Genomic DNA, 13181 nt, shown 5'->3' with positions numbered 1-13181 from the left:
GCCATATAGTCAAAACAATCCTAAGAGAAATGAGAAAACCAGAATCCTCACACTTCCTGATTACAAAACATATTCCAAAGCTACTGCAATCAAAACAGTATGGTATTGATGTAAAGACAGACATACAGACCAGTGGACCAGAATAGAGTCCAGAGATATATTTTCATGGGGATTGAACCATTTTGCATCACCACTAACAGTGCACAGGGGTTCCAATTTCTCCACATTCTTGCCAGCCCTTGTTATTTTCTGTTTTTGTTTTTTTTTTGTTTGTTTTTGTTGTTGTTTTTGTTTTTTAAATAGCAGCCATGCTAATAGGTATAAAGTGATATCTCACTGTGGCTTTGACATGCGTTTTCTAAATAATTAGTGATGTTGAACACCTTTTCATATGCTTTTTGGGCATTTGTATATCTTCTATGGAGAAATATGTATATAAGTCCTTTGCCAATTTTTTAAGTTGGGTTATTTTTGTTGTTAAGTTACAGGTGTTCTTCATATATTCTTGATATTGACTCCTTCCCAGATATATGATTTGCAAATATTTTATCCTATTCCATAAATTGTCTTTTCACTCTGTTGATTGCTTTCTTTGCTGTGCAGAAGCTTTTTAGTTTGATGTAGTTCCATTTGTCTATTTTTGCTTTCATTGCTTGTGCTTTTGGTGTCATAGCCAATAAATCATTGCCAAATTCAGCTTTGTAAAGATTCTTCCCTATTATTTTAGGAGTTTTAAAGTTTCAGATCTTTAATCCCATTTTGACTTCATTTTAAAATATGGTATAATGTAAGAGTCCAACTTCATTCTTTTGTACATAGATATTCAGTTTTCTCAATACCATTTGTTGAAGAAAATATTCTTTCCCCACTTTATAGTCTCAGTGCCCTTGTTGAAGATCACTTGACCAGTGGGTATAGAGTCAGTTTTGCAAGATGAAAAGTTCAAGAAACCTGTCAAAACAATGAGCTATAGTTAGCATTACTATGCTGTACACTTAAAAATGGTTGAGATAGTAAATTTTATGGTTTTTACCACATTAAAATAATGAAATAAAATATTGCCAGCACCACAGAAGTCCCTTGAAACTATCTTAATCAATCACTTACACCAGCCTCAAAGGTGATTATTATATCTAACATTATAATTTAATTTTGCCTGTTCTTGACATTTATATTAAAGGAAATTAATATTATGCTTTGAGATATATCTATGTTGTAGCATGTAGCTGTAGTTTATTCTTTTCTATTGCTACATGGTATTCCATTCTACTGTTGATGCCTATTTTAGTCATTTCCACTCTAGGTCTATTATAAATAATGCTGCTTTAAACATTCTTGTATATTTCTCTTGTTTCACATGTGCACATATTTCTATTAAGTACATACCAATGAGCAGAATAGCTAAAAATGGCATAAATAGGGTGACCATCTAACTTGCTTTCTCCAGCAATAGCACCTCTCCGTGCCAATTATCCCAGCATTTTAGCAAGTTTAGCCTGTGTCCTTGTCCTTCCCTCCCTCCCTCCCTTCCTCTCTCCTTTCCTCCCTCCCTCCCTCCTTTCCTCTCTCCCTCCTCCCTTCCTTCCTTGACTTTATTCTTGTGCCCTTTACATTCTAGTTGAAGTCCCTTTTTTCTCATTGAAACACCTTTGTCACTCAACTTTTTATACCTTAAGTCTGCTTAATGACATAATTCATACTATAAGCAAATAGGCTACAAACTACAGCAGTGCAGGCTGCCCTGGCAGTAATGAGGCATCGATCAGACTCCTTTAGAAATTATCTGGATCTGGACAGAAGACATTTGCAATAGGCTTAAAAATGTTTCAACATTTCTACCAGAATAGTCAGAAATAATACACGGTTTGATGAGGGAAATAAAAACTTGGCAGACACATACTTGAAAGAAAGGAAAAGACTCACACCAGTTAGAATGGCAATCATTAAAAAGTCGGGAAACAACAGATGCTGGAGAGGATGTGGAGAAATAAGAACACTTTTACACTGTTGGGAGTGTAAATTAGTTCAACCATTGTGGAAGACAGTGTAGCGATTCCTCAAGGTTCTAGAACTAGAAATACCATTTGACCCAGCAATCCTATAACTGGATATACACCCAAATGATTTTAAATCATTCTACTATAAAGATACATGCACACATATGTTTATTGCGGCACTATTCACAATAGCGAAGACTTGGAACCAACCCAAATGTCCATCAATAACAGACTGGATAAATAAAATGTGGCATATATACACCATGGAATACTATGCAGCCATAAAAAAGAATGAGCTCATGTCCTTTGCAGGGACATGGATGAAGCTGGAAACCATCATTCTCAGCAAACTAACACTAGAACAGAAAACCAAACACTGCATGTTCTTCCTCATAAGTGGGAGTTGAACAATGAGAACACATGGACACAGGGAGGGGAACATCACTCACCAGGGCCTGTTGGGGGGTGGGGGGCTAGGGGAGGGATAGCATTAGGGGAAATACCTAATGTAGATGACAGGTTGATGGGTGCAGCAAACCAGCATGGCACATGTATACCTATAACAATCCTGCATGTTCTGCACATGTACCCCAGAACTTAAAGTATAATTTTAAAAAAAGAAAGAAAAAGACTTTCACACAAAACTGAATAAATGACACACAAGAACAAAATTCAGAAGACACCAATACAAACATACTCCCTCTTCCTTCTCTACACATAATTCATTATTAAATTTATCTTTGTAGTGAGATTGTTCTGCCAATGTGATCTCTATCACTAAAGATTTAATTCCATGTTTACTCAACTTTGGTCCAGGAAATGCATGTTCTATGAGGTATTAATAGGATTCTCATAAAAGTATTTTCTATTCTAATCAGTTGGAGTAGCTTTGCATAGTACATCTGCCTGCTTCACAAGAAACATATTAAAGGCTCTAGGAATTCCTAGAACAGTAAAGAGACATTAACCAAATATTTAACAAAGTTATTTTGGCTGCTAAATCATGGAACATCTTCTTAATATCTTACTGAATTGCTCAACAGCTTTGTGTTCCTTTTTGGGAGTGGTAATTTAGTATCAGAGAACAATTCATTTCTAAATCTAGCAATGGGCTAAGAAGATAGAAGGCTCCCCATTATTTTTCCAGGAGTTTCGTCTCACATAAGTTAAGGTGTGCTCACTACCTCCTAGTATTTCATCTCCCATAGCATTTTAATTTTATTTTTCTCCTACACCTTTAAAATTTACTTTTTAAAATTGACAGAGTACATTGCATGTTTTTATCAGATACAACATGATGGTTTGAAGTACATATGCATTGTGGAATGGCTAAATCTAGCTAATTAACAAGACGCATTACATAACATCATTATAATTTTTGTGTTAAGAGCACATAACGTCCACTGTCTTTACATTTTTTTCAAGAATACATTATATCATCATTAACTACAGTCACCTTGTCATAAAATAGTTCTCTTAAAATTTATTCTTCCTATCCAAGTATAATTATGTATCCTTTGACCAACTTCTTCCCATCTCTCCTCCCCGCCAACCATCCCACCAGTAACCACTGTTACCACTGCTCTCTACTTCTACGAGATCAGCTTCTCTAGATTCCACATATCAGTGAGATCATGAGACATATGTTTTTCTGTGTCTGGCTGATTTCATTTAACATAATATCCTTTCGGTTGACCCATGATGGTTGCAAATGGCATTTTACGTTTTTACGGCTGATTATTTCATTGTGTATATATACCACATTTTCTTTATCCATTCATTCATTGATAGACACTTAGATTGATTACATGCCTTTCCCACAACATTTTTAGGCTTGGGAAATCAGATGAGGAATAGACTCTGGTATATGGATATCAGAAGTCAGAGGTGCTGATTCTGACACTAATAACTGTAACCTCTGAACTCCTGTTACCTTCTCTATAGGATGGAGCTAATCCCTGCTTTTTAATTTAATATCAACAAATATTAAAAGCTAGTCCTCAGGAAATTTTTCATCTAAAGAAATAGTGGGGCCAGGTGCAGTGGCTCATGCCAGTGATCTCAGCATTTTGGGAAGCCGAGGTGGGAGAATCACTTGAGCCCAGGAGTTTAAGGCCAGCCTGGACAACACAGTGAAACCCTGCCTCTACAAACACACACACACACACACACACACACACACACAAATTAGCTGGGCATGGTGGTACACACCTGTAGTCCCAGCTACTTGGGAGGCTGAGGCAGAAGCATCACCTGACCCCAGGGAGGTCAAGGCTGCAGTGAGCCATGATCACACCACTGCACTTCAGACTCCAGCCTGGGCAACAGAATGAGACCCCGTGAAAAAAAAGCAAGAAAGCAAGAAAGAAAACAAGAAAGCCAGAAAGAATGCAAGAAAGCAAGAGAAAGGGAGAGAGAGAGAGAGAAGGAAAAGAAAGAGAGAAAGAAAGAAAGAAAGAAAGAAAGAAAGAAAGAAAAAGAGAGAAAGAAAGAAAGAAAGAAAGAAAGAAAGAAAGAAAGAAAGAAAAGAAAGAAAGAAAGAAAGAGAAAGAAAGAGAAAGAAAAAAGAGACAGAGGGAGGGAGGGAGGAATGGAGGAAGGGAGGAAGGAAGGAAGGAAGAAAGACATGATTGATAGATGATTAAAGGTATAAAAATAGACAAGAAAATATCAGCAAGTGTTAATTGCTTGTTATTAAGTCCTGTGAGAAGAGTTAACATAAGATAATGTGACGGTGTTTAGATGACTGCTTTTGACTGAATAACTAGGGAAAGACTCTAAGGAGGTGATATTTCAATTGAAATTTGAAGTACAGGCAGGAAGATCTCGGGGATGAGCACCTCAAGAGAAAGAGCTACCGGGGATCTTAACACGACTTTGTGAAACAGGATTGAAGGAGAGAGGGGAGAGATTGGCTTGGAGAGGGAGGCAGACACCAGGTCAACTATGGCCTTGCAAACCATACTCTTTGGATTTTATTTCAATTACAATTACAAGGCACTAAAACATTTTAAGCATGAGGAAAGTGACATCACATACCCATCTATGCCATTGAGTGGTTGTAAAGAACAAACTAAGAATGTGCATTAATCAAAATTCCAGTGGGACATACTCAGGCCAGGTAATTTGAGGAGAATTATTTAAAGAGACTATTATGGGCAGGTTTTAAGGAACAAACCAGAGATAGTTAATTACCCACTGGCTACTAATAGAGGGGAACCCATTACCCCTTAACCCTGAAGGGGTAAGATAGTTCAGTGGCTATCTAAACCCGAGGAAGTTGTTAGGTGGTGAATTCCAGCGGAAAAGGGCTGTAGACTGGAGGAAATGGGCATGGCCAACCTGCAGCTCTGTGAAAAGAAGGAGCCACAACTTCACTCTCTTCTGCTTCCCATTGGGCAAACCCAATCAGGAGCCAGAGGCAAAGTCCGTTGATCAAGATCCACACAGACAATGATAGATGACGGTGGAGGATGGATCTGGTAGAACAGCAGAAAGGATCCAGCATAGCCTTGCTTCTTGACATCCACTCTCATCCTTTGCCTAGGTGACAACTTTGTGTTCCCAACCAGTTACCATATCTTCAAGGCCAGAACACTTGCAACCTAAAAATGTTAGCCATCAGCAGTGCTCTTCATAAAAGGAGTGGGAGGAAACATGGGGATAAGAAACAATGATCAGAGGCCATAGCTGTTAAAATCTCTGCTTCTGTAACTGGTTAGTATGTCTAAGTTGTTAACCACAGCATCTTTCTTCCAATGCCCATTTCATGTTTCCTTATTCTATGAAAGTATCTTGGTTGAATGGATTTTTAACCTGATTGCCTGAGTCAAACTTTAGTCCTACAGGAGCTGAGCCATTTGGTGGTCCTATCTTTACTACACTGCCACAATTTTCTATTGCCAAGGGCCGTGGGGTAATAAAGTCCTAAGTAGCCACAAACCCCACTGGGGTTCCATAAATAATCCTCCTCACCCCCACTGCACATTTGTTTCTCCTTGGTAATCAGGATCAATCACCCAGCCAGTACATGCAATAAGCTCTTCTCTGTCTTTGCTTCATCAGCCTGAAATGGCCAGTGGGCAATCTCAGTTTCTAATTCAATGGAACTATTATTGTATTCCCTTAGGGATTCGTTTCTCCTTCTGTTACTATAAACCCACAGAATCCAAGATTGCATGGATGGGAAGAAAACATTCCCCAAAACAAATATTTGGTATAATAAAGTCCATTCTCACCTCCAGCCCTTGAATCTTGGACATATGGTTTCCCAAGCATGGGAAACCACTTGTTTAATGAATATGCTGCATCATATAAGAAGTTATTTCCTTGAGGAACACTGAGAAGTGATTTCCTTGAGGATAGATTTCCACGATGGAAAGGAAATGAGAGGTTCTAAGAGGCGGGCTAGTGGCTTGTACTATAGTATAACCTGCCTTTGCTGGTGTGTGGTGATTAGGCCTGGTGGAACCACCATCAATAAATCAAGCGTGATCAGGGTGAGGAACAGGAAAGAAGGAAATTTGGGGAAATGGGGTGAATGTCAGGTGGATCAGAGAGATACAGTCATGGGGGTCAGGTGTGGTATCAGGAATAATGTGGGAGGCCGGATTGAAGTCTGGGCCAGGAACAACGGTAATTGTGGGAGACTCAACAAAGAGTGAGTACAGCTGAAGAAGCCGGGGAGCAGAAAGTATATGCATCAGGTATGAGGCAGAAAATAGATTTTGGAAGTTATGAGAACTGTAGAGAGTGAGTTGAGCGTAGTTTGTGATTTTGAGGGCCTCTAAAAGTATTAAAGCAGCGGCAGCCGCTGCATGCATACATGAGGGCTAGGCTAAAACAGTAAGGTCAAGTTGTCTGGACAGAAAGGCTACAGGGTGCGGTCCTGGCTCTTGTGTAAGAATTCTGACCGCGCTAACCATGCCTAGGAAGCAAAGGAGTTGTTGTTTTGTAGAAGGTGCTTGGGTTTGAGAGATCAGTTGGACACGATTGGCAGGGAGAGCACATGTGTTTTTATGATAATTATGCCGAGATAGGTAACAGATGAGGAAGAAATTTGGGCTTGATTGAAGTAATGGGGGCTGTCTGTGAAGCTTTGTGGCAGTACAGCCTAGGTAATTTGCTGAGCTTGATGGGTGTCAGGGTCAGTCCAAGTGAAAGCGAAGAGAGGCTGGGATTAAGGGTGCAAAGGAATAGTAAAGAAAGCATGTTTGAGATATAGAACAGGATAATGGGTTGTAGAGGCAGGTATTGAGGATAGGAGAGTATATGGGTTTGGCACCATGGGGTGGATAGGCAAAACAATTTGGTTGATAAGGCATAGATCCTAAACTAACTTGTAAGGCTTGTCTGGTTTTAGGACAGATAAAATGGGGGAATTGTAAGGAGAGTTTATAGGCTTTGAAAGGCCATGCTGTAGCAGGCGAGTGATAACAGGCTTTAATCTTTTTAAAGCTTGCTGCGGGATGGGATATTGGCGTTGAGTGGGGTAAAGGTGATTTGGTTTTAATGAGATGGTAAGGGGTGCATGATTGGTCGCCAAGGAGGGAATAGAGGTATCTTATACTTGTGGGTTAAGGTGGGGGGATACAAGAGGAGGATGCAAAGGAGGCTTTGGATTGGGAAGAAGGGAGGCAATGAGATACAGCTGTAGTCCAGGAATAGTCAGGGAAGCAGATAATTTAGTTAAAGTGTCTCAGCCTAATAAGGGAACTGGGCAGGTGGGGATAACTAAAAGGAGTGCTTAAAAGAGTATTGTCTAAGTTGGCACCAGAGTTGGGGAGTTTTAAGAGGTTTAGAAGCCTGGCCGTCAATACCCACAACAGTTATGGAGGCGAGGGAAACAGGCCCTTGAAAAGAAGGTAATGTGGAGTGGGTAGCCTCCGTATTGATTAAGAAGGGGATGGGCTTACTTTCCACCGTGAGAGTTACCTGAAGCTCGGCGTCCGTGATGGTCTAGGGGGCTTTCGAGGCGATCGGGCGGTGTCAGTCTTCAGCCGCTAAGCCGAGAGGATCTGGGAAGGAGTCAGAGAGCCTTGGGCCAGAGTTCCAGGGGCTCTGGGAGTGGCTGCCAGGTGAGTTGAACAGTCCGATTTTCAGTGGGGTCCCACACAGATGGGACGCAGCTTAGGAGGAATCCCGGGCTTCGGGCATTCCTTGGCCCAGTGGCCAGATTTCCGGCACATGTAGCAAGCTCCTGTGGGAGGAGGTTCTGGAGGAACGCCTGGCCGCTGCGGTTCAGGCGTTTGGAAGTTCTTGTGTGCTGGAGATGTGGCTGGGGTTTGTCTCACAGTGGAGGCAAGGAATTGCAACTTTTTTCTATTATTGTACACCTTGAAGGCGAGGTTAATTAAATCCTGTTGTGGGGTTTGAGGGCCGGAATTTAATTTTTGGAGTTTTATTTAATGTTGGGAGCAGATTGGGTAATAAAATGTATTTTGAGAATAAGACGGCCTTTTGACCTTTTAGGGTCTAGGGCTGTAAAGCGTCTCAGGGTTGCTGCCAAACAAGTCATGAACTGGGCTGGATTTTTATATTTGATGAAAAAGAGCCTAAACGCTTCTGATTTGGGATGAAGAAAAAGGAGCATTAACCTTGACTATGCCTTTAGCTCCAGCCACCTTTTTAAGAGTAAATTGCTGGGCAGGAGGGGGAGGGCTAGTCACGGAACGAAACTGTAAGCCAGACCAGGTGTGAGGAGGGGAGGCGATAAAAGGATTATAGGGTGGAGGAGCAGAGCCTGAGGAAGAATTGGGATCTAGCTCGGCCTGGTGAGGAGCAGCCTGGGGAGGAAGGGAGAGGTCAGATGGGTCTGTAGAAAAGGAAGATTAGAAAGACTCAGCGACGCTTCGGGTTGATACTGAGGGGACAGGCGGGAGGGAAAGAAGGAAGATTTGGGACGAGTTGCACTGGGCACAGAGACTAGGAAGGGGCTGATGTGTAAAAGAATGCCTGGACGTCAGGCACCTCAGACCATTTGCCTATTTTACGACAAGAATTATTTAGATCTTGCAGGATGGAAAAATTCAAAGTGCCATTTTCTGGCTATTTGGAACTACTGTTGAGTTTGTATTGGGGTCAAGCGGCATTGCAGAAGAAAATAAGGCATTTAGGTTTTAGGTCAGGTATGAGTTGAAGAGGTTTTAAGTTTTTGAGAACACAGGCCAAGGGAGTAGAAGGAGGAATGGAGGGTGGAAGCTTGCCTATAGTGAAGGAAGCAAGCCTAGAGAAAAGAGAGAGTAGAGAAACAGAGGGAAGGGGTTTGGGGGTTCTTACTTTCCAGAAAAGTGGGAAAAGGGGTTGGGGCACAGAGATAAGAGGTCAGGGCATGGAAATAAGGGATGGGGCGCAGAAATAAGGGGTCGAGGCATGGAAATAAGGGGTTGGGGCACAGAAATAAGGGGTTGAGGTGCAGAGATATAAGAGGTTGGGGCACGGAAATAAGGGATTGGGGCGCAGAGATATGAGGTTGTGGTACTTGCCCCTCCGCCAGAAAAGCGGGACTTGCTGCTAAGGGTGAAGGAGAAGGGGTTGAGGGGTACTTGCCCCTCCCCCAGAAAAGCAGAGAAGGGGTAGAGACAAGGAGAGAAGGGGTTGGGGTACTTGCCCCTTTCCCAGAAAAGTGGGACTTGCCGCTAAGGGTGAAGGACCAAGGCAGGCGTCCCTGCGTGGTCTGACACCTTTGAAATGTGGGTGAATAATCAGAGAGGCGTCCCTGCATTGATTAAACACCAAGGGAAGGCTGCCTTCCCAGTCCGTGACCGGCGCCGGAGTTTTCGGTCCACGGATAAAACATGTCTCCTTTGTCTCTCCCAGAAAATGAAAGGAATTGAAATTAAGAGAAGGGAGAGTGAAGAGTGGAAAGGAGAAAGTGGTTGAGGGACAGTGAGAGAGGTTGGAGAAGAGAGTAAGAAGAGGCTGCTTACCTGATTTAAAATTGGTGAGATGTTCCTTGGGCTGGTCAGTCTGAGGACCTGAGGTCGTAGGTGGATCTTTCTCACCGAGCAAAGAACAGGAGGACAGGGGATTGAGCTCCCAAGGGAGGTCCCCCGATCCAAGTCACGGCACCAAATTTCATGCGCGTCTGTGTGAAGAGACCACCAAACAGGCTTTGTGTGAGCAATAAAGCTTTTAATCACCTGGGTGCAGGTGGGCTGAGTCCGAAAAGAGAGTCAGTGAAGGGAGATAGGGGTGGGGCCGTTTTATAGGATTTGGGTAGGTAAAGGAAAATTACAGTCAAAGGGGGTTGTTCTCTGGCGGGTAGGAGTGGGGGTCGCAAGGTGCTCAGTGGGAGTGCTTTTTGAGCCAGGATGAGCCAGGAAAAGGACTTTCACAAGGTAATGTCATCACTTAAGGCAAGGACCGGCCATTTACACTTCTTTTGTGGTGGAATGTCATCAGTTAAGGTGGGGCAGGGCATATTCACTTCTTTTGTGATTCTTTAGTTACTTCAGGCCATCTGGGCGTGTATACGTGCAAGTCACAGGGGACGCGATGGCTTGGCTTGGGCTCAGAGGCCTGACATAAGGGATGTACAGATGTTTCTACTTAAATTTGCTTGTGCAGATTGGTAAGGGCATCAACGAAAAATTAACTGTTCTTCTAAAAGTCTTGGGAAGGAAAGAAGATAAGGAGACAGGAAATGGAACAACTAGTCATAGAAGAAAGGAGAGAAGGAGGAAAAGCTCAGGGAAGAAAGGTTGGGCAAACTTAGAAATTGAGTAAGGTTTCAAGTGACAGAGAGTAGGCAATTCAGGTCCAAAATCCCTTATCTACAATTCTGAAATTATGAAAGCATGAAAACAAACATTTTTAAAAATTCATTTGATAGCAAAACCTGACCTGAATTACTGTGAAGGTTTTCATAGTCTTTCTCTTGTGTAGCGGGAATATTTCTTTGTTTTACTGCAATAAGGTTAACATTGTGGATGAAAAAGAGTCAAACTTTGTAAAATATTTGAAAGGATTTATTCTAAGCCAAATATGAATAACCAAGGCCCGAGGCACAGTCTCAAGAGGTCCTGAGAACATGTGCCCAAGGTGGTTGGATTACAGCTTGATTTTGTACATTTTAGGGGGACAGAAGTTACAGGCAGACATCAATCAATATATATAAGGCCTAAGTTGGCTTGGTCCAGAAAGGGAGGACAACTTGAAGCAGAGGCTTTCAAGTCATAGGTAGCTTCAAAGGTTTCCTGACTAGCACTTGGTTGATAGAGTTATTAGCTAAAGAACTGGAATCAATAGAAAGGAATGTCTGAGTTAAGATAAGGGATTTTGGAGGCCAAGCTTCTTACTATGTAGATGAAGCCTCCAGGTAGCAGCCTTCAGAAAGAATAGATGAAAATGTCTCTTATTAGACTCCAAAAGTTACCAAACTCTTAATTAATCTCTCCTGGATCAGGAAAAGACCTGGAAATGGAAGGGGATTCTCTATACAATGTAGATTTTTCCCGTAGGAGACAGCTTTGCAGGGTCATTTCAAAATATGTCAAAGAAATATATTTTGGGATAAAATACTCAGATTTCTTTCAGGGCCTGCTATATGTCATGTGATGAGATACTAGAGTCAGGTTGGAATTTGGTATATTATTGCTACAAAGTGCCTATTTTGTCAGTCTTAAGATCTCTGTTTTAATGTTAATGCTGGTCAGTTGTGCCTGAATTCCAAAGGGAGGAGAGTATAATGAGGGATGTTTGGCTGTCCCCTCTTCCCATCATAGTCTGAACTAGTTTTTCAGGTTAACTTCGTAATGCCCTTGGCAGAGAGAAAGGATCCATTCAGTCAGTTGGGAGGCTTAGAATTTTATTTTTGGATTACAATATGATTGATTATGGGGTATTGCCCTAGACTCTTCTGTAATATACATATATAAATATCATTATCTTTATAAAAATCAAGATAATTCTGAACTCCCGAACACCTCTGGCCCCAAGGGCTTCAGATAAAGGATTGTGGACTTGTATAACTAACATTTCACAAAGGTATGTGAAAGGGGAATACATTTGTCCAGGTCTCAGAGTATTATGTGGGTGTTTGGGGTTAAATGATGTCTCCCTCACCTTCAAATTCTTATGTTAAAGCCCTCTCCCCCAAGTATCTCAAAATGTGACCTTATTTGGAGATAGGGTCTTTACAGAGGTAACCAAGTTAAAATAAGGTCACTAGGGTAGGCCCTAATGCAGTATGACTGGTGTTCATACAAAAAGAGGAAATTTGGGTATGAACAGGCGTAGAGAGAAGATCGCTATCTACAAGCCAAGAAGAGAGGCTAGAACAGATCCTTTTCTCTTAGCTCTCAGAAGGAACTAACCCTGCCCACACCTTGATCTTGGACTTCCAGGCTCCAGAACTGTGAGACAATAAATTTCTGTTCTTTAAGTCACCCAGTCTGTGATACTTTGTTACAGGCCCGTAGGAAACAAATACAGTAGATTTGTGAGTGCTGTGAACCCCAAATATCAGAGACAGGTCTCAGTCAATTTAGAAAGTTTATTTTGCCAAGGTTAAGGACACACCCGTAACACAGCCTCAGGAAGTCCTGACAGTATGTGACCGAGGTGGCCAGGGGTACAGTTTGCTTTTATACATTTTAGGGAGACATGAGACATCAATCAATATGTGTAAGATGTATATTGGTTCATTCTGGGAAGGTGGGACAACTTGAAGTGAAGGCTTCCAGGTTAGAAGTAGATAAGAGACAAAAGGTTGCATTCTTTTGAGTCCTTGATCAGCCTTCCACTGAATGCACAATCTAGTCTGACTTAGTGAATCTGCATTTTTACATAAACAATAGGGCAGAGGAAGCAATCAGGTATGCGTTTGTCTCAGGTGAGCCTCACAGGGATGATTTTGAGCTCTGTCTGTCCTTTGTCCACAAGGAATTTCCTGTGGGCAAATTGTAAGGGAGATATGTAGCTTCTTATCTTTGTAGCTATCTTATTTAGGAATAAAATGGGAGGCAGGTCTGCCTAACATAGTTCCCAGCTTGACTTTACTCTTGGCTTAGTTATTTTGAGATTCCAAGATTTATTTTCCTTTCATAGTGCTCTACAGGAAATGCAGGAGATATTGGCGTGCTGCAGGTAAAGGGAATAAGACCTGCCTGGCACAGTGGCTCATGCCTGTAATCTCAGTGCTTTGGGAGTCCAAGGCAGGAGGATCGCTTGAGGCCAGGAATT

General features: G+C 41.8%; 4 annotated features.

Moving 5' to 3' along the window:
• Positions 9565-10091: an enhancer, noted in NCBI's record as "OCT4-NANOG-H3K27ac-H3K4me1 hESC enhancer chr4:88843387-88843913 (GRCh37/hg19 assembly coordinates)". NCBI's record gives its function as "activates a minimal SCP1, AML or CMV promoter by ChIP-STARR-seq in naive H9 embryonic stem cells {active_cell/tissue: H9 hESC(naive)}" and the evidence as "EXISTENCE:reporter gene assay evidence [ECO:0000049][PMID:30033119]".
• Positions 10092-10619: an enhancer, noted in NCBI's record as "OCT4-NANOG-H3K27ac-H3K4me1 hESC enhancer chr4:88842859-88843386 (GRCh37/hg19 assembly coordinates)". NCBI's record gives its function as "activates a minimal SCP1, AML or CMV promoter by ChIP-STARR-seq in naive and primed H9 embryonic stem cells {active_cell/tissue: H9 hESC(naive and primed)}" and the evidence as "EXISTENCE:reporter gene assay evidence [ECO:0000049][PMID:30033119]".
• Positions 12155-12449: a silencer, noted in NCBI's record as "tiled region #601; K562 Repressive non-DNase unmatched - State 24:Quies". NCBI's record gives its function as "represses a minimal TATA promoter and a strong SV40 promoter by Sharpr-MPRA in K562 cells {active_cell/tissue: K562}" and the evidence as "EXISTENCE:reporter gene assay evidence [ECO:0000049][PMID:27701403]".
• Positions 12675-12969: a silencer, noted in NCBI's record as "tiled region #543; HepG2 Repressive non-DNase unmatched - State 7:EnhWF". NCBI's record gives its function as "represses a minimal TATA promoter and a strong SV40 promoter by Sharpr-MPRA in HepG2 cells {active_cell/tissue: HepG2}" and the evidence as "EXISTENCE:reporter gene assay evidence [ECO:0000049][PMID:27701403]".

Source organism: Homo sapiens, chromosome 4, assembly GCF_000001405.40.
Source record: "Homo sapiens chromosome 4, GRCh38.p14 Primary Assembly".
NCBI lineage: Eukaryota > Metazoa > Chordata > Mammalia > Primates > Hominidae > Homo > Homo sapiens.
This window is presented reverse-complemented; position numbering and strand designations above follow the sequence as displayed.